At 42.6% G+C, this 21005-nt stretch overlaps 1 protein-coding gene and 1 pseudogene across 6 annotated transcripts in view, besides 1 other annotated feature; one reads left to right on the top strand and one right to left on the bottom strand.

The window, feature by feature from the left end:
* TMEM255A (transmembrane protein 255A) overlaps positions 1 to 21005 on the top strand; it is a 60029-nt gene that overhangs the window by 31948 nt on the left and 7076 nt on the right. For 2 of the 6 annotated variants that reach the window (NM_001104544.3, NM_017938.4), the window contains 3 exons: positions 2467 to 2629; positions 11127 to 11270; positions 18486 to 20864. In NM_001104544.3, the coding sequence (NP_001098014.1) occupies positions 2467 to 2629; positions 11127 to 11270; positions 18486 to 18644 (466 nt within the window). In that variant the 3' untranslated portion in view covers positions 18645 to 20864. Of the gene's footprint in view, positions 1 to 2466; positions 2630 to 11126; positions 11271 to 18485; positions 20865 to 21005 lie in introns of those variants that run through there. The other 4 variants (XM_017029619.3, NM_001104545.2, XM_047442232.1 and 1 more) reach the window with 4 other exon arrangements.
* Positions 4057 to 4734: an enhancer, noted in NCBI's record as "NANOG hESC enhancer chrX:119408635-119409312 (GRCh37/hg19 assembly coordinates)". NCBI's record gives its function as "activates a minimal SCP1, AML or CMV promoter by ChIP-STARR-seq in primed H9 embryonic stem cells {active_cell/tissue: H9 hESC(primed)}" and the evidence as "EXISTENCE:reporter gene assay evidence [ECO:0000049][PMID:30033119]".
* Positions 5982 to 9473, bottom strand: PFDN4P3 (PFDN4 pseudogene 3; annotated as a pseudogene).

Here is a 21005-nt window from a genome sequence, read left to right as displayed (position 1 = left end):
CACACTCACCCATACACACAGGTCTGTCCTTTTCAGAGAATAGTCCTTGTACAGCTGTCCGTTTTTGGGGGCAGTAAATAATCTGTGCATCCTCCCTGCCCTGTCCCCAGGGCCTAGTACAATGCCAGCTAATAGGAGACAATGTATGCTTATGCATGGGCTCTTGAGATATGCTCCTGAAAATACTGAAATCCAATTCAAACTCTGATTAATTGAAACTCCCTTAAAATTCCACTATGGGCCAAGTGTGGTGGCTCACACCTGGAATCCCAGCACTTTGGGAGGCTGATGTGGGAGTATCTCTTGATGCCAGGAGTTCAAGACCAGCCTGGCCAATATAGTAAGACTCTGTCTCTACAAAAAATATTTTTTTAAAAAATTCCACTACGGAAGCTTACTATTAAAAACAGTGGGTCTCAAACATTGATGAACTTGTTAACACAGATTCTTGACCCCATCACCAGAGATTCTACCAGATTCAGTAGGACTGGGGCTGGGCCTAGGAATCTGCATGTTTAACCATCTCTCTTTCTCAAAGATACATGCACAGATACACGCAGAGACACCCACAGGCACACACAAATAATGCACTGATACAAACAGGCAGGCACACATAGACACAAACACAGATGATTCTGATGCAGTCTGCCCTGTAACCACACTGACTTCACCTCCTTAGAGAAACACTGACTTTAAAGAATCTGAAGATAAATTCATCTGTAAAGTTTAAGTCTTTTCATATGTGAATAGTCCCTCTCTGATTCATTTTGGAGATCAGCCTTTGATTGTTTTTCTGTTTTCTTTTTTGCATTCTTATAGCAGGGGAGTCACATGTAATAATCATCCTAATGCCAGGGCGTTTCGTTGTGACTTTAAGTGTTTTAGATTCGTGATGAACTCCAGTGGCCAAGTTGTAAACTAGTTTGTGACATCCAGGAGGACAGGAACTTTCATTTAATTAATTCCACAGGTATTTATGTAGCACCAACTGTGTGTCAAGCACAGCAGTGAGCAAAATGAACCAGTTCCTGCCCTCATGGAGCTCACGTTCAAGTTGGGGAGGCAGACAATAACGTAGTAGACACATCAGTAAGTTATTTTCATATGGGAATGAATGCTACAGAGAAATTAGAAAAGGGTGATGTATTGCTTAGCTCGGGCTGCCATAACACGATACCATAGACCAGGTGGCTTAAACAATAGAAATGTACTTATTTCTCTCATTTCTGGAGGCTGGAAGTCTAAGATCAGGGTGCCAACATGGTCGAGCTCTGGTGAGGGCTCTCTACCTGGCTTGTGCCACTTCCCCTCTGTGCTCACAGTGACCTTTCCTTTCACATTCAAGTAGGGAGGGAGAGAACGAAAGTCGGGGTCGGGGGTGGGTGGGGGAGGGGCGTGGAGTAGGGAAGTCAGGGGAGAAGGAGGGAAAAAGAGGAGGAGGAGGAGGAGAGCGAGATCTTCCTTTTCTTATAAAGCCACCAATCCTATCCGATTAGGACCCCACCCTTGTGGCCTCATTTAACTTTAATTATCTTCTAAAAGCCCTATCTAAAAATACAGTCACATTGGGGGATAGGGCTTTAACACATGAATTTGGAGGGACAAAATTCATTCCATAGCGGATAATGTGATAGAGAGCGACAGGGCTGGGAAGGGGTGTCTTTGGACAGAGTGGTCAAGAAAGGCCTCCCCACGGAGGCGACTTTCAGGTTTTGTGTAGCAACTCAGCTTTAGTTGTTTACCAGGACATTGGTTTTTATTTGTTTGTTTTTTTGTTTGTTTTGTTTTGAGAGGGCACACACTGAAGTCTTTGAAGCCTGAATTCAGGTCCCAGTTCTACCACTTACGACTTGGGCAAGTTCTTTAACTTCTCTGTGCTTCACTTTCTTCATCTGTAAAATGTGCATGGTGATAGTCCCTATTTGATAGGATACTGTGAGGATTTGCAGAACTTTCTGCAATGATGGAAATGTTCTGTAACCTGCTCTGTCCAGTATAGTAAACACTAGCCACATGTGACTATTGAGCACTTGAAATGTGGCTGGTGAGACTTACCAACTGAATTTTTCTTTTTACTTAATTTTACTTAATTTAAATTTAAATAGCCACATGTGGCTAGTAGCTACCACATTAAACAGCACAGATGCAATGAATTCACACATGTGAAATGCTTAGCACTGTGCCTGGTACATAGCAAGTGTCAATAAGTGCTATCTAGGATTAGTGTTAGTGGTGGTTACAAGTATTTTTCTGGCAGGTAGGAGTTTTTTTTCGGGGAGTGGGGATAAACAATCACACTTTGATTTATTATAGTACATGGCTATGATGTCTCTTACTGTAGCTCCCCACCTGCCCACCTGTCTTTTCACTGAGCTGTATGGTAGCCCAATCCCAGAGTTGGGGAGGGGGCTGGGGAGGACAGCCTGCTCCCTGGGGACTGACTGGAGCATGCTCCTCCCTGTCCAGCCGGGTGGAGATCACTGGTGGGTACTACGAATACATCGATGTCAGCAGTTGCCAAGATATCATCCACCTCTACCACCTGCTCTGGTCTGCCACCATCCTCAACATTGTTGGCCTGTTCCTGGGCATCATCACTGCCGCTGTCCTTGGAGGCTTTAAGGACATGGTAAGGAAAGAATTGACTTTGCATTTCACAGTGGCCCCTGTTGGACATAGGGGGAAGGCTAGGCAGTTGGGGGAAATGCAGACACATATTTTGAAGGGAAGAATCAGAAGCAATTGCTTCAAGGATGTAGCTGCCTTCAAATGTCTCAAGTTGAAGGAGCCAGGTAATGTCATCAGTCTGCAAATATTTCTTGTTATACACAAATTACCTGTGTTCTGGAGGCACCTTCTAGGGGTGGGGGGTGAAAGGAGGAAGGGGTGTTCTCAGTTCCCCCATTCGCACTGGTTATGTAAACATAGTCTTTTATAGCCCCACCCCACACTTTTAGTAAAATTTTTTGGGAATAGTTTTCCCCTAACAAACTTTGGGAGAGATGGAAGGAAAGGTTATTCTAGCTATAGGTAGGATTAATGCTAGTCTTCCCCTCCCCAGGTATTTCATAGTGAAGTTTCTTCAGAAAGAGCATCTGGGCTCTTTTCTGTTTGCATTCGCAGAGCCAGCTCTAGGCTAAGTTGCTTGCCAGGTCTTGCCTTCAACTTGGACCTCAACCTCAGCCTCCCCACTTTCCATTCTTCCCTTCCAAATCTTTTCTATTTGTGTGTGTGTGTCTGCAAAGGCACAGCAGGACTCAGCATTCAGTAGGTACTCCATATAGTAGGCTTCTTTTTTTCCTTTCCTTCTAAGGCATTTCTAAGCATTTATTTGTTTATTTGATAAATCTAGATCTCTAATTATGGAGATAATAGCTTTGAGTTATGGTTATCAACCTGGCTTCATATAAGAATCACCTGCCCAGCATGGTGGCTCATGCTTGTAATCTCAGCCCTTTGGGAGGCCAAGACAGGAGGATTGACTAAGCCCAGGGGTTTGAGACTAGGCTGAGCAACAGCCCCTGTCTCTATTAAGAAAAAACAACTTTTTTTAATTAGCTGGGTGTAGTGGCACATATCTGTAGTCCCAGCTACTTGGGAGGCTGAAGTGGGAGGATCACTTGAGCCCAGGAGGTTGAGGTTGCAGTAAGCCATGATTGCACCACTGCACTCCAGCCTGGGTGACAGAGTAAGACCCTGTCTCTAAAAAAAAAAAAAAAAAAAAAAAAATGCTTGGGCTCCTTCTCTAAAGATTCTGATTTAATTGGTCTAAACTGAAGCCCAGGCATCAGGTTTTGTTTTTTGGTTTTTTGGTTTTTTTTTTTTAAGCTCCCAGGTAATTCTGATCTGCAGCCATGATTGAATACCACTGCTTTAAATGAACATCCCACATCTGTTTATGGAATTATTTTGTGCCTAAGAGGGACTTTCCTTTGACCCCAGAAATTAGCTCCTAGGCCCTTGGCTGTTTCTGTCAGATTTTGGGGTCCCTGAAGAACAGAACCTGAAAGGCAGTTTGTAATTTGATCCTGGACGGTCAAAAGGATGAATGTTGGAAAGTGAAAGGTGGGGTAGGACAAGGGAAAAGAAAGAAACTCTGTCGTTTTGGATTGCAAGTCTCCAGCAGTACTGGGCTGACTGGAACTATTAAGTGTTCCTGCTAGTGACTCTAAGTCAAGAGAAATCCTTTCCTGCCCATCTGCACTCTCTCTTTCTTCTTTCTCTCCCTCTCTCATCCGCACATTTCTCTTCCCAGCTTCCCTCCCCAGACTCTGGAATGCCCAAGCACTAACAAGTAGGGGAAGCATCAACAAAGGTGGAGCCCCAGGAGGGAAAAGGATTTCCTGTAAATTTGGCCTTGAGGAAGCTTTTAGGTTAGAGAGCTGCAAAAAAAGCTGTTTCTGGGTTGGGGCTTCTTTGGAGAAAAGAATGCCCTTTGTTCTTGGAGAATTTCCCCAGGGGGCAGATGAAAGTACAGGTATTGTGTGGAATCTCAGCAGCTTTGGCTGGAAGAGAAGCTCCCAGGTTTGGCGAGTTGAGGAGATGGGACCTCAGGATGAGTGTTAAGAGTTCTCTAAATTGTCCCTAGAGCTTTCAGGCTTGGATGGCAGAGATACCTTGATGCACAAATGGAGTAGGTGGTAGCTACTTGGTAGGCTCTGTGGGGTGCCTGTAAGGCTTCCCCCTCTCCAATTTTACCCTACTGTGGGCGCTGAAACTGCCACCATGTTTTATTCCTTACTTTAAGATAAGCATTGTCCTTTTTCTCCTTGTCCACTTTCAAGATGCGTGTATTAAACAAAGGAATAGGCTAGTAGGCCACAGAGGTGTTTATACTTTGAGTTACTAGTCTCTCAGTGTGAAGGATTTGATAAGACCCTTTTCCATGGTGATGGAAAGAATTGGATTTTGAAGGCAAAGGGCATCTGAGGAAGACAGGGAGAGTGGCTAGATGGACACTTTCAAGAAATTTCTGGAAGTTGGAAAGAAGGGAGGAATAGGAAGATGATATGCTAAGGAACACAACCCTGCCAAGCTTTTAGCCTTAGCTTTAGTCCCGTTTTCCCTCACTGTCCCCCTTTAAAAAAAATTGAGGTGGAAGTCACAAACATAAAATTGATCACTTCAAAGTGTACAATTCAGTGGCATTTAGTACACTCACAATGTTGTGCAATCATCATTTCTGTCTAGTTCTAGAACTTTTTCATTACCTGAAACCTGTACCCATTAAACAATCACTCCTTGTTGCCCCTTCCCTGAGGCCCCAGCAACCCCTAATCTGCTGTCTGTCCCTATGGATTTACCTATTACAGGTATTTTCTATAAATGGAATCATGCAATATTCGAACTTCTGGGTCTGGCTCCTTTCACTTATCATATTTTTTTTGTTTTTAAAATTCATCTACCTTGTAGCATATATCAGTGCTTCATTTCTTTTTATGGCTGAATAATATTCCATTGTATGGATAGACCACGTTTTGTTTAGTTTTTTATCCATTGATATACATTTGGGTTGTTTTCATGTTTTAGCTACTGAGAATAGTGCCTTCATGAACAATCACTTACAAGTACTTGTTTGATTACCTGCTTCCAATTCTTTTTCCACCTATGGGTGGAATTGCTGGGTCATTTGGTAATTCTATGTTTAACTTTTTGAGGAGCTGCCAAACTGTTTTCCACAGCAGCTGTGTCATTTTACGTTCCTACCTGCAGTGTGTGAGGGTTCCAATTTCTCCACATCCTCACCAACACTTTCTCAAAAAAAATTATAAACATTCTAGTGGGCACAAAGTGGTATCTTGTTGTGGTTTTGATTTGTACTTCCCTGCTGACCAGTGATGTTGGGCATCTTTTTATATGTTTGTGTGCAATTTGTATGTATATCTTCTTTGGAGAAATATCTATCAAGTTTTTGCAGATTTTTTTATTTTCCAAACAATATTCAAGATTGTTAAACAAAATTTTAAAGTATTATAAAATGTTTAATTTTCATTAGCTTTAAGGTTTATGTTACCCCCAAATTTTGTATATAACTGAAGTTTCAAATCTACTAACACTCACTGAATTGATACCACTCTGGATTCTAAGGCATCAGTTTCTTCTTACCAATTTTTCTTTGCTTCTTCTAACATTTCTTGTGTTTCATCTTGAGAATGGCTAATGAAAACATCACCAATTTGATAAGGTATCATTAAGCAGTCATCATCTGCAAGCATGATGTCATTGCAAACAACTTCTAAATTGTGGAGTTGTTTCCTTTTAACTTCTGTTTCTTCCTTCAGCTCTGTGATTCTACTCATATTCCTTGCAAATTTGTTTACCTAATGTTGATCTTCAAAAGTAGCGTTGAAATTTTCTGCAGCCTGTAAACAACAGCACTAGTAGCACCTACCTGTGGACTTGTGAGGGCTGATGTGATAACCCAGGTAAAGTGCATGTATTAGTCCATTCTCACACTGCTATAAAGAACTGCCCGGCCGGGTGCAGTGGCTCACACCTGTAATCCCAGCCCTTTAGGAGGCCGAGGTGGGCAGATCACGAGGTCAGGAGTTTGAAACTAGCCTGGCCAACATGGTGAAACGCTGTCTCTACTAAAAATACAAAAATTAGCCGGGCATGGTGGTGCATGCCTGTAATCCCAGCTACTCGGGAGGCTGAGGCAGGAGAATCACTTGAACCTGGGAGGTGGAGGTTGCAGTGAGCCGAGATCGTGCCATTGCACTCCAGCCTGGGCAATAGAGTGAGACTGCGTCTCAAAAAAAAAAAAAAAAAAATAGCCCAAGACTGGGTAATTTATAAAGAAGAGAGGTTTAATTGACTCAGCTCTGCATGACTGAGAAGGCCTCAGGAAACTTACAATCATGGCAGAAGGAGAAGCAGGCACATCTTACATGGCAACAGGTGAGAGTGCATGTGAAGGAAGCAAAGGGGGAAGAGCCCCTTATAAAAGCATCAGATCTCGTGAGAACTCATTCACTATCATCAGAACAGCAGCATGGAGGAACCACCCCCACGATTCAATCACCTCCCACCAGGTCTCTCCCTCAACACCTGGGGATTACAGGGATTACAGTTCAAGAGGAGACTTGGGTGGGGACACAAATCCAAACCGTATCAGTGCATCAAGTGCGTAAAAGCCAACCTCAGTCAATGGGACCTTCAGTTTCCCATACCCTAAGGACAAGGCCTGGGCTGCAGGGTCCTCATGCTCCCCAGAGGCACCCTCAGTACTGAGAGAGGTGCCCAGAGCCCTCCATGGATTCCGGCCTGGGGACCCCCTGCCTCAACAAGCCAGGTGACTAAGCAAATGCTCAGGGCCCTAGGTGCAGACAGGGCTCCCCACAGAGCAGCTGTAAGGGCTGGGGGCCTCAGTCTTGGGCCCCACACTGAGCTTCAGAGCTGGGCACCCCCAGCATCCCACACCCTCCACTCCCCTGCTATAGCTGAGACCTGGCCACTGACCAAGAATCCTGCCCATTTTTAAATCTGTTTTGTTGTTGTTGAGTTGTAAGAGTTCTTTATAAATAGCGGATACTAGAGCATTATCAAATATGTGATTTGCAAGTACTTCCTCCCATGCTGTGAGTTGTCTTTTCACTTTCTTGATAATGGCCTTTGAAGCACAAAAGTTTTTAATTTTGATGAAGTGTCATTTATCTATCTTTTCTTTTGTTGCTTGTGCTTTTAGTGTTATATCTAAGAATCTATTGCCAAGCTCAAGGTCATGATTTCCACATTTTTGCCTAAGAATTTTATAGTTTTAGCTGTTACATTTAGGGCTTTGAAACATTTTGATTTAATTTTTATATCTAGTATAAGTTAGGGGCTCAGTTTCATTCTTTTTCATGTGGATATCCAGTTTTCCCAGCACATCTGTTGAAGACACTGCTCTTTCCCTACTTTATGATCCTAGCAACCTTGTCAAAAATCAATTAACTGCAGATATATAGATTTGTTTCTGCGTTCTTAATTTCACTGTTATCTTTGATCTCCTGAGGAAAAAATGGGTTTGCTGATGGTCTGTCTTGATAGCGGCAATAATGGCCCCTAACCCTCTGCAAAGTGCTTTTGCACAGTTAATCTTCACTATTACTACTTTGTGAGGTAGGTATTACTGTCTCTGTTTAACAGGTGAGGAAACAGGCCAAGAGGGGTCAAGTGACTTGCCCAGAGCTGAGTAGCAGAACTGGGACTGGAGCCCAGATTTGCCAAATGCCAGAGCCTTTGCTCTTTCTATTTCATCCCAGCTGCCCCTGACTAACATTTGGGTAGCCCTTTCTGGTTCTATGAGTGTTTTAACATATATTACCTCCTTTGTTTAGTTGATTTAATTAAAAAATTAAAAGCAAGTTGTTTCCACCTGTTGGGAGCTTCTTTGACAGTACGGAAGGAGAGCAAGGGAAGTACCGAGCATTATCAAATGTGAATCCCGGGAACTCTATCAAGGACCAGGGCAGAAAAAAAATGAAAGCAAAGATCTGGGGAGAAGATCTTTGATTCATGAGATTAGAGAACCAGTGGGGGCACAGATAAGGATACCAAGGAGGAATCATTGCCTAGATCACTCTATTAAAATAAGACCATGGTGTAAAAAGTCCAGGAACATCATTCAGGTGAGCCTAAGTACAATCCTTGGCCTACATCCAAGTGTGGTTGGTGACTTGTGATGTGCCTCTCCCTGAGTAGAGTCCCCGGGGTCTGCAGGGAGGCCCGGGGGTGCTGGCTGATGAAAGCCGTTTGCAGAGAGTGAGGACAGGAGCCGAGGGCTGTGAGCTGGCAGTCTTCAATGGAATCAGCTAGGAACCACCATTTCCAAAGTTGTGGGATCCTGAAAGGAACCCTGACAAGAGGTGCTTGGTGAAAAAGATCTTAAAGAAATGTTTGAAGAAGTGCTTGTTGACCAAAGATATGAGGATTTGAGATGAATTTTTAAAAAGTGAATATATCTTTCCATTTTCTCCTAATTGGTATCGCTGGTTTAGAGTAAACTGGAGAGGGAAAAAAAGTAGCATTCTTTCCAAAGTCCACAATCATTGTCTCAGAATAGACTCAGTTTTGTCCAGGCAAGATTGCTTTCACCATTTGCTGTGCTACCTAGTAACCTTTTGTGTTACTGGAGCTCGGAATGCTACTGATCAATAATGGGGGGGCAGGGCGGGCGTCTCACAACGTAAGCCCCAGAATTCTAACAGAAATACACATACACACACACACACACAAACACACACTCCTATACGTGCACACAAATAGAAACAGGGCCCAAATTTATTGTAAAATCAGATTTATTGATTTAAAATATAACCAGACCACTATTTTGGCCCATCTCTTTTGCCCCATCCCTGACTAAGTCTTCACTCCATTCCCCATTTCCTCTTCTTCCTTCTCTTGCTGGCTTGTCCATTTTCTCTATATCCTCTACCCCTGACTGTCTTCTCTTCAGAGACTTTCCTATACCCATTTAATCTTACTCTCATGTTTCTTCTGTGCTGCCTTCTCTAAATAGTCAACTTCCTTTCAAATATTGTCTAGACCCTTGGCCTTGCTGAACACACAAAAACTTTTATATAGTTTACATTGTATGATTGTTTCTCCACAGTTAGGCTTAATTTATTTAGATAGAAGAGCTGGTTTCATTTTGCGAGAGCTGGAGGGTGTGTTTTTAATTGACAGTATGCCAAGGGAACATGATTTCTGGTACTTCCCCAGAGACAGAATTTCTTTAAAGAATTCTGGGGGAGAGGTAAGGGCATTTCTGAGTAAATGTAAAGCAAGCCAGCCCTTGGAATGGTCAAGATCTCAGCCCTCTTTCACACATTAAAGAGGCTGACAAACATTTATCTGGCTGTCTGTGAGCTGTATTATGACTGAGGTTTGTAGCTCTTCAAACCTCCTAGAGATGTAAACAGTAACCCACTCCAAGGAAGAGAGCAACAGAACTGTGTTGAAACTTGCTGGAAGGGAGTTTCCCCCTGCCAACACCCTAACATGGTTGCCTTTGTGACTGCCAAAGCCTGCCTACACATTTTCATCACTTGAGAGGAAGCTTCTGCTTCTCTGTTAATGTGCTGTAGCTATGTTCCAAAAGGAAGACACATTGATTTTTCAGACAGCTCTCAATTATACACATGAATGGGGGAGGTATCAATGACATAGAAGATGGAAAAATCATTTACCCCACACCTTGATCCATGTGGCACAAAGCACAGTCCTACTTGGGAACTAATGAGTAGTGGTAACTTCCTTTAGCAGTGCTTTGGCTCTGATGAGAGCAGGGCCTCCATTCTGGACAAGGTTAGCTTTAACCCTTGAAGGGCTACACACACCACCATGTTGTGAAAAGGATATAAAATTATGTCTGCATCGTTTTATTTGCAAAAAAAAAAAAGGTGGGGGGATCAATATATTTTTCTTGGTCTTTCATGGCTTCTGTGCACTGCTAGGATTTTGCCTCTACTCTACAGGGCTGATGAGAAATCAATACCCTTCATGTCTTCAGGAGACCCCCTTAGCAAGGTTGGGATCTCTAAGAATCCTTACAACTTTTACAAATTCTTTGTGATTGAACACACTCTGTCACAGCAAGAACACTAGCTGGTTCGGCCTTCTCTATTTGATGTTTTGCATTTTGAGTCTTATTTTTTCTTTTTAATTCTTGTTTTTAAAAATCACACAAATGATTTCAACTTTTCTATAGGTTTAAATTTTTCAAGTTAAAAAGTTTGGGGAAAATGACACAATACAAATTAGTTGTAAACATTTTGACATATATAGTAGAAAGTTAAGAATCCCTATATACCTCCTAATTCTACTCTGCTCCCCAGAGATAAACCACAGTTAATAGTTTGCTATGCATCCTTCCAGGTTAATTTCTTTGCATTTACAAACATACATACATGTATAATTTTGGGGGTCTTTTTTTAAAACATAAATTGGGATCATGTTATATTAATGTAACATAATGGCTTTTAAAACATAAAAATATATCCTGGACAACCTTCTCTAAATAGGTCCACATCATTGTTTATCAATAGCTGCATGGTATTCCATAGTATAGATGTACTAAGTTTATTTAACCATTCTCCTAGTGATGACTGTTTATGTTGTTTCTAATTTGTGTTTTTCTACAGAACCCAACTCTCCCAGCACTGAACTGTTCTGTTGAAAATACCCATCCAACAGTTTCTTACTATGCTCATCCCCAAGTGGCATCCTACAATACCTACTACCATAGCCCTCCTCACCTGCCACCATATTCTGCTTATGACTTTCAGGTATGTTTTGGGAGAAAAAAGAACTCTGTATTACCCTTGTTCTCACTCATGCTCTCTTGTTCTCTCCCTAAATTCAATTATGGAACCTTTCCATTGTCTGCATATGTATGAGGTAGCCATGCATCTCCCTAATGGCCAGCAGCCTGTGGTTGCCAGCTTAAGGACTATGTAGGCAGGCAACGATGGCAGAGATGGGCGGGTGGAAGCTGCGCAAGAGAAGAAACAGAGAGATGGAAGAAAAAGGGAGAGAGGGAGGTAGGATCAAGGTATCCCAAATTGCCTTAAACTACACCAAGGAGAAGATAAGCTAGTTGGGAAATGGCAGCTCATTAGTACACTACCATGGACCCCTGTGCAACAGTGGCTTTTTCCATTCCCCTGATATGGGGAGAGGCCTAATCCTGCTCCTTAACACAAGGGCATTCTGAGCCACACAAGGGTTTGAATCAAACCTGTAATGAGGAAGAAGTCCCATTCTTTTTCTCCAGGCCTCCTAACTAGGACTACACAGAGCAATACACAGAGTATTTTTATAACACCCCTCCCCCTTTTGCCCTGTTATCACGTAAGTCAGAAATAGTGTTAACAAATTTGCACTTTCCCCTTTTCCTTTTGAACTGTGACTACTAGTAGAAAACCAGACCCAAAAAAGGCACTTACTTAAAAGGAATTCATTGCATGCAGAACACTGAACTAGACACTTTGGGCAAACAAGTGAAATGGTCCTTTAGGTATGTATAACGATTATAAACCCTTGACCATAGAAGAGCAAGGTTACACTAAAATCTAGTTAATTCAAACTTTAGAGACCAAAGGAAATACCTTTTAAGGAAGGGAAACTCATAATAAATTTGCTTCTATTGATCAAGAGACCATGAATGTTCCATGGGGACATAAAAGTACAACTATCTGGGGGTACTTCCAACTAACCAGCCAGTTTGGCAATACAAAGCCCTTGGGCAACCTAATTTCAACTTCAGTTTGGCAAAATAACTGAAACTTAAAAATCTGATTAAGTTGAATAAAGTGTTGTTGTGGTTGGTTTAGATACCGTTCAGAGAGGTCTGTGGCTCCATAATGCAATAATAATACATATAGTGTGCACATGTACTTGTTCACTTTTATAAAATATAGTACTAGTTCAAAAAGGTATCCATTAACCCATTGATGCCAGAGGTTGCAAATTTTTTTGTGAAAAATCAGACCTTGGCGATGACCTTGAGCAGGAGGATATAAATAACTCCCACAAGCTTAGCGTTCCAATAATGGGACACTAGGCATAAATGGGTTAAAGCTTAGAAAATATAATGATAAAATTCGTTCTAAAGCCTACTGTGTACACAGGTAGACAACTCAGGTAACTTGTTACCCAAATAGGTGGTATAGACTGGAAAACAAAAATATGTTCAAGAAGGGCATAGATAATTTCAATAGTGACCGAGGCAACAAGGAATTCTTCAAGAGAATGCAGGGATGTTGAAGCTAAAACAAGGAAGGTCATCATTCTCTTGGGGTCCCTATAATAAAAAGTCATCCTTAAATAGAGGAGCCACACATGGGTCTAGCCCAAGAGGCCTCCTCTACTTTTATATCAAAGTAAATTACATTGATTTCAGGAATTTGCACTTTATAATGAACCCTTTAAGTAGGGACAATAATACATCTGGTGATGGTTACCACAAATTATAAGATAGGAAACCTCTCTTTTGGGTATGGAGCCATCATTCCTCATTCAAATCCTACCCCAGAAATGAAAGCAAGATTGAGAATGCCAACGGTGACTTGGATTGTTGGTTTCAGTTCAATCAATGTTTACTCTGTGTTCCATGTGCCACGCATTGAGCCAGGAGCTGTGGAAATAGAAATTAAATGAGACAGTCCCTGCGTTAGTCTAGGGACTTGGGGGTGGGGGGTCAGGGGACAGTAGTGGGGACAAAAAAGTAAAGAAAACATTACCCAGAATGCTATGGAAACAGCATACCTAACCCAGAAAAGGGATCCAGATTTAGCTACCTAGTCCAAACCTATACTATGGGCTTGTAGCAGAGACTTTGGGGATTGTTAGAAGCCTCTCCTTTTTTTTTTTTTTTGAGACAGAGTCTTGCCCTGTCGCTCAGGCTGGAGTGCAATGGCACAATCTTGGCTCACTGCAACCTCCACCTCCTGGGGTCAAGCGATTCTCCTGCCTCAGCCTCCCGAGTAGCTGGGATTACAGGTGCGTGCCACCATGCCCGGCTATTTTTTTTTTTTTTTTTGTATCTTTTGTAGAGACAGGGTTTCACCATGTTGGCCAGGCTGGTCTCAAACTCCTGACCTCGTGATTCACCCGCCTCGGCCTCCCAAAGTGCTGGGATTACAGGCATGAGCCACCGTGCCTGGCCCACCCTTACTTTTTAATAACAGCTACTATTCACTGAGTACTTACTATGTACTAAGCATTGTGCTAAGTGCTTTACATATATCATCATTCAATCATTTACCTCTTTAAGAGAAGTACTCTTGCAATTGCCATTTTTAAGATAAGATGACTGAATCATGGAGAGATTAAGTGACTTCACCAAAGTCACAGAGGTGGTAAGTGAAAGAGTAAGGATTTATATCTAGGGCTGACTGATTCCAGAGATTGGGTTGGGGGATTTTTGAAGTTGTGAATCTAAGCGGAGCACAGCTCTTTCCCCAGTTAATTTTGGGATATTTATACTTTCTACTGGATATTTATACTTTCTACTGGACTCATGGTCCTCAGAAAGGGTCTCTTTACTCTTGATCCCCACTGAAAAAGGATTCCCTTCCTTCATGCATTCCTCAGAGGGGAATTCAGGGGCTGCTTGGACACTTTTTATATGTCTCCCACTTCTTTCCCTAGGCTCAAGATGTCTTTAGTATTTCCTGTTTGAAGACTTTATAATTGTATAGCCTAAGTCTTGAGGGGGTAAGATTTTAAGTGATTTCTCTCTAGAACTTAAATGGTTTCATTTTAGTATTTTAGTTTAGCTTTCTTTTGCTCACCAAGTTTCATTCCCTTATAGTTTCATAGGCGAAAATACCATTCTTTACACAAGAAAGTCAGCCAGGCGCGGTGGCTCACGCCTGTAATCCCAGCATTTTGGGAGGCCAAGGCGGGCGATCACCTGAGGTCGGGAGTTCGAGACCAGCCTGACCAACACGGAGAAACCCCATCTCTACTAAAAATACAAAATTAGCTAGGCATGGTGGTGCATGCCTGTAATCACAGCTACTCAGGAGGCTGAGGCAGGAGAATCACTTGAACCCAGGAGGTGGAGGTTGTGGTGAGCCGAGATCACGCCATTGCACTCCAGCCTGGGCAACAAGAGAGAAGCGCTGTATAAAAAAAAAAAAAAAAGGAAAGTCAAGAGGGCAGGAAACGTCTGCTTATATTCCCAGATAAATAAAAAGGAGTCAGCAAATGCACTCCAGATCTGACAATAAAACCACCTGAAGCACAGACCCACCCCCAAAAGGCCAGAGCTCCCTCATGCTCTTCTGATTGTAAAATGACCTAAGTTACAGCCAGAAAATGGACCTTTCTAGACTTTCTTCTGAATGACTTCCCATTTTGGTTATTTCCAAGTAGGACTATTTCTGTGACTTTGGGTTTGGTGATTTCAACTTCCTTTTGACCCTGAGGCTAATAGGAGGATGAGGAAAAAAGACTTATAATGTTTTGTTTTAACCCCTCAAAGTCATACCCTTATTGGGTAGCTGTCCAGTGAGGAAGCTTGGGAAACACTTCTTGTGGTCAGACATGAGCAAGGATTTGGGTCTGATCAGCTGGCCCTGAGGAAGTTTTGAGTGCTGAGCTTAGAGAAACTGGATTCTTTCAAACACTGGGCTCCAGGGTGTCCTTGCTTCTCAGGAACTCCTCATACTCCAAAGCAGGAAGGATATAAGCTGAGACTACCTTTGCCTCCTCGCTCATCTGTCCAACACTCATTTCTCTTGTCCTTTGCACTATTTCCCCACCACCCCTTCAGCTTTAGCCAAGTAGTCCAAAATCTGTAGGGTACAAAGCATCAGTTTTCACTTCTGCTGGGAAATTAAACCCAGCTATTTATAAACCCCTCAAGGTTCCCAGCAATATTTCCCAGTCTGGCATACTGGGCCAGTACCCCTACTTTACTCTAACCATGGAATGGTCCCTTTCCTATCCATTTGGTGACCAGCCAAGTTTAAGCTTAAAACGAAAGTCTCAACCTATGCAATTCAAAAGTGCCTCTATTTTTCCTCTTTATTTAATCACGAGGGTACACTAGGTTTCACCCTAGCCACTAAAAGTTACTCATTATAAATTGGGCCCATTTATTAAAAGGATTGCTTTGATCCTAGGAGGGTACAGTTTATGGCACAGGTTGCTGAGAGCCTTAGAAGGCTGTTGTTGCTATCACTCAACTTTTTCTTCCCCCCGCCACCCGCCCGCCACCCCGCTGTCAAGTCTTTCCTTTCGTCCCCTCCTTTCCCTTGTTCCTGACTCATCCTTTTTTTTTTCCTCTTTCTTTTACCCACTCTTCTCTCCATCTCCCTAGCCTTTGCTTCCAGGGGCAGAACAGAGAGGGAATGCACAATACCGACAGATGCTGGGATTTTACCCTTGGGACACAGTGTCTTTAACTAGTAATTATCACCAGCCAGTTCCTGGGCTCTTTGTGAAGTCACTGTCCCACAAGGCTCCTGGAGAGAAGCATGCCCTGACGGAAATGCGCATTGATCTTGAAGGGTGTGGGTCAGCCATCAGGCAGGCAGGAGGCAGGCTAAGGTGGAAGAGGAAAGCCATCTGTGTCCCTGAAAGGGTGGTGCTCCTCTTCAAGCACCATCAGCCTGTTGGCCACCCCAGCCTCTAAGAAGCCGCTCAGGAAGCTGGAGCTGACTAGGCCCAGCAGTAGGCTATTTAGATGCTCTTCGTGCTTGGTGGTGCACAAGGATTCAAAGTTCTGTTCTCCTGAGCTGCCCACAGCATTATTAAAGTCACACTCTCAGGCAGGAACCAGAATACACCAGGCCAACTCCCTGGCTGCGACAAAGCCAGATCTTTCCCAAGGTGCCTGCCTGTTGCTAGGAAACTATGCACTGGTACTATGGGCCTTTTCCCCCGCTAAACCCCAAGGGTGTGTGGACTGCAGCCAGTTAGCTCCCTAGCTCTGCCAGGAACCCTTCAGCTTTATCCTTAAGACTCCCAGCATCCTCAAAGGGAAGTGAGAATCATGACCCCCTCCCCCCATACTTCTCAAACACAAAACTAAGAAGTGAAAACCCAAGGGCCGTTGTACCACCCCCTTTTATTATCAAAGTGTACAACTGCCACCCACAGCAGCTGCTGCCCACAGAAGCCTTTTAATGCCTCTCAGGACAGAACTGCCTTTAGCTTCACTTCAGGAAACTTGCCTCTCCCTTCTGTGGCTGGGAACACCTAAAACTGGCCTGCTGCCTCTCATGTCATCTCTGTAGTGGGATTTAGAGAGGCAGTGAGTGCCATATGCCCAGGCACAGAGATTCTTTGCCCTGGTGGGTCTTTGTTCCCCTCTCTGGTTAAGAGGAGAGAGTTCTTAGTTGAGGAAAGCAACAGAACAGGAGGGAGGGAGAGGAGGAGGAAGGGAGAGTTTGAAGGGTGCAAGATGGAAAATCAGGAAATCACTATACCGATGTTTTTAACAAAGGGTATCTTCTTGGAGGGAGGAGGAAAATTGAGTTTTTAAGAAGGAATCTAGATTGTCTTGAGTCCACTGCCTCAGGTTGTTTTGCCTTTAAGGGCTCTCCAGGTTCTACGACCCTGCCATTTCTTTGGAGTGAAATAATGGATGGGATTTGGGAGGCAGGGGATGATGGCAGCTAGCATCTCTTCTCAGTCTTAACATTATGTGGTAAGGAAGATTTTTCTGTGTCTCAAGCAAGGCTTAGAAATCTGGACATAGGTTTTATTTATTTATTTATTTATTTTCGAGACGGAGTCTCACTCTGTCACCCAAGCTGGAGTGCAGTGGCGTGATCTGAGCTCACTGGAACCTCTGCCTCCCAGGTTCAAGCGATTCTCGTGACTCAGCCTCCTGAGTAGCCGGGATTACGGGCACCCACCACCACTCCCAGCTAATTTTTGTATTTTTAGTAGAGATGGGGTTTCGCCATGTTGGCCAGGCTGGTCTCAAACTCCTGACCTCAGGTGCTCCACCCACCTCAGCCTCCTACAGTGCTGGGATTACAGGCGTTAGCCACCGCGCCCGGCCTAGATTTTATTTTTTAAAAGCATGCCAAGTTCATCTACTATGCTCCTGAAGTTGTATTCACTCATTCAAGATTTATTGAGCACCTATTACTTGGCAAGTACTGTTCTGAGCTCTGGAGGATACAGCAACAAACACAACAGGCCACCTCTCCTTCAGCAGGGAAATCACTAGAGTCAAGGATATACGTGGGCCAGGGAGAGAAAGGGGCAAATGACTCCTGCCAATTCACTGCATATTTTAAAAAATTCATTTCCATTCCTTTCCCAAAGTAAGACAACACAAAGTAAAACTGAATACTCAGTGTCTCTGCAACCTGACATATTGCTCCTCATTCTCACCTCCATGCCTTTGTTACTCTTTGCTCTCCAACCTACTCTGCACTTGGGGATGAGGGGGCAGCAGTTAAGGTGGAGTAGAAAATGTTGGACTTGGAGTCAGAAGACTCCAGATCCGAGCAAGCTATTTCACCTCTCTGACCTTAGTTTCTTGTCTATGAGAGGGGCTCCTGACCACTGTACTACCTCTCTGTGATATACTCTTTTAGCAAAGACTTTCCCAGGGATCACTGGCTTAATATCATTAAATGTTCTCAAAGCCAAAAATTACCTTTTGAAGACTAGTTGGGACATTGTTGCCATAGCTTAAGGGAGAGGTATTGGAGGCTTGAGTTATAAATGTAAAAAAGGTAGTGATGGATTCAAGAGACAACACAGAAGTAGAAGCAACAGGATTTGGCAATTGATTGGATGTGGGCTGCAAGGGGTTGCAGAGGAGGATTCCCTATTTCTGCAGGTGGCTTGTAGCCTGAGTGACTGAGAGAACCACCTGTTCCAGGCTCATTAACTCTGTGAGGTTTGGGAGCTCTCTGTTCTTCCAAATAGAAAAAAAGCTTTGGCCCATATTCATTTTTAAATAGTAATGACTGTTCAGGGAATTGCAAACTCACTGCCTAAACTAACGTTTTCTTTTTATCACACAGCATTCCGGTGTCTTTCCATCCTCCCCTCCCTCTGGACTTTCTGATGAGCCCCAGTCTGCCTCTCCCTCACCCAGCTACATGTGGTCCTCAAGTGCACCGCCCCGTTACTCTCCACCCTACTATCCACCTTTTGAAAAGCCACCACCTTACAGTCCCTAAAGAGGAATGCCTGCTGGCTATTGAGATTATTGTGGCTTTTGTATTTCTGCTTCAGTGGAAGTGTGTAGGGTACAAAATTTAAAGTGTGACTCTTATGCATAAAGTTTTACAATGGCCTGCCAGGCTAGGGAAAGATAGGGACGAAGCTTATTCATTATTAGTGCAGAGCAGGGGTGGTCAGGCTGAACGCAGCACAGAAGGGCAGCTCACATTCTCTAAGCAAGACTGGGGAGCCAGCCCAGCAAGAAGCTTGTTTGGACTTGCATTACCCTATGCTCCACCTCTGTATTCAGCAGAAGTGTGGTTGCCATCTTTTTCACTTTATGTAAAGGAGTGTTGCCCTCGGGCCCTTGGCAGATTGCCACCCCAGCACCTAGGTTGAAGCACCTGGTTTATAGGCCCTATCTTTCCCTACCCCTAAAGTCAGTCCCTAAGGACAATTTCCCAGCTGATGGGGCTACACAGTAGTTCCAATACAGAGAGTTCTGGCTAAGATTTTGTTTGCTTGTGTCTGGATGTTGAAAAAGACTGCCCGTATCTCTTACTCCTTCCTTCTCTGTGAGTATTGTAAAAATGGCTGTTGTGATCACTCAGCTCAGCTTTTGTTATTGGTACCTCCTAAAGGGAAAAGTGCAATATTCTTGCATCTTCAGTAGTGGGGAACAGGATGTATTGTTCCGGAAACACTGAAATACACAGCAACATGTGAGATGTTTTAAGTAGATCACTTAGGAGACAGTGGTTCTACTACATGTTGCATTATTACAAAATACATTTGCTACAGGAGATATAAATCTTATGGTTGTAATTCAGAGTTTAAAAATGTTATAAATTAGGTTCTTGGGTCGTGATATGAATTGTTACTAATCTTTGTGACTATTTAATCTTCAAATATTGTGCTTAACCCCAGCAATCCGCACGTATCCTGCACCCCACCCCAAAAGAGTCATCTGTATTTTAATGCCACTGGTCTTATCGGTCCTTTTGTCTGTTGAGACCAGTCATGACAGCATTCAAGATTATGAAAGTGTTACAATGCCGCTTCAAGTCTGCAAAACCTCAAACGTAGCCAACTTGACAAATATTTAAGTGTTACGGCAGATTTAAAATCCATCTGGCACACCGTGGTAGGTATTTGTACAGTTCTTTTAATTACACATAGCTTTAAACCATCAACCTGATGAGTTTAAAGCTTTTGCACCCATGCCTTCACTTCAGAATGAACACCTTCATTGTGATCTTATGTTAACCTGAGAATTGATTTAAAGGAAGATTGATAATCCTATACTTTATAACGTAAAAATACAGGGGCTACAGGAGGGTACCTAATTAGACAGTTCTCCAAACACAGAACACACACTGGAAAATTTTCCGGCCAATTTTGCTACCTCCCAACTTGATGGATTAGAGGTAGCGCAAATGCTGGTGCTCCCATCTACCTTGTAGACACTTAGCCATCAAGAATCAAGGCACAAGAAGTGCACTCTCTCATTAACAGTAAATGTTTGCAAGATATTCAGTTTAACTTTCAGCATCATGAATGTTCTTATCCAGATTTTGAATCCGAAAAACTATAATCCTTTTATGTTATACAAAATTACTATGATTTTTTACAGTTCTGAGCATATTAAAATTCTACTGGATTTCAAAAAGAGACTAATACCCAACTGACTAACTAAACAAATATCAACTTGTAATACTCAATGAATTTTTTTGCCATTTACATTTGACCGTTGGCTTTAGTGAATGTCCATATTTAATTTTTTAAGGCACCATTACACAGTTTATCCTACATTTATCACATTTCTTAAAGTGTTAAGATTCTATGGCTCATTTCTATGTATTTTTCTTACTTTACAAAATAACCTGAAACAGTATAGATTTTGTAACACTTAATTTGAGCAGCTTTTTTATTACATTGAATTATACAAAGTGCATGTTACCTTAGAAAAATTAATATTTGCTGCTTTACTCTTTTGCAAAACATTTGCTGTAATGAATGGATTTGTATTTCCAATATGTATCTTGACTGCATTTTGTAATATTTACTGCTTTATTCCTAATTCTGCTTTAAAGTACTGAACTGGGCATGAAACATTAAAATATTAATCCAGAAACTGTATAAACTGGATGTTGCTTAAAATCTGTATCACTGCCATGTTGAAAACTCAGACTGCTTTTGTGATGTTTCAAATGAATAAAACTATCCTCCCCTCGTTATCCACTTGTGTCAAGGTAGCTATAAAAGTACAGCAAACGCTCTAAAGCAACTGACAGCAGCTGACTCACTTTTGACTATTAGGGTTCAAGATAAAAGGGGACATTTTTAACCAACATATAAAACCTAGTGGGAAATTTTGC

This window comes from Homo sapiens, chromosome X, assembly GCF_000001405.40.
Source record: "Homo sapiens chromosome X, GRCh38.p14 Primary Assembly".
In the NCBI taxonomy this organism is placed as follows: domain Eukaryota; kingdom Metazoa; phylum Chordata; class Mammalia; order Primates; family Hominidae; genus Homo; species Homo sapiens.
The sequence above is the reverse complement of the archived record's forward strand: the minus strand, read 5'-3'. Positions and strand labels throughout refer to the sequence as shown.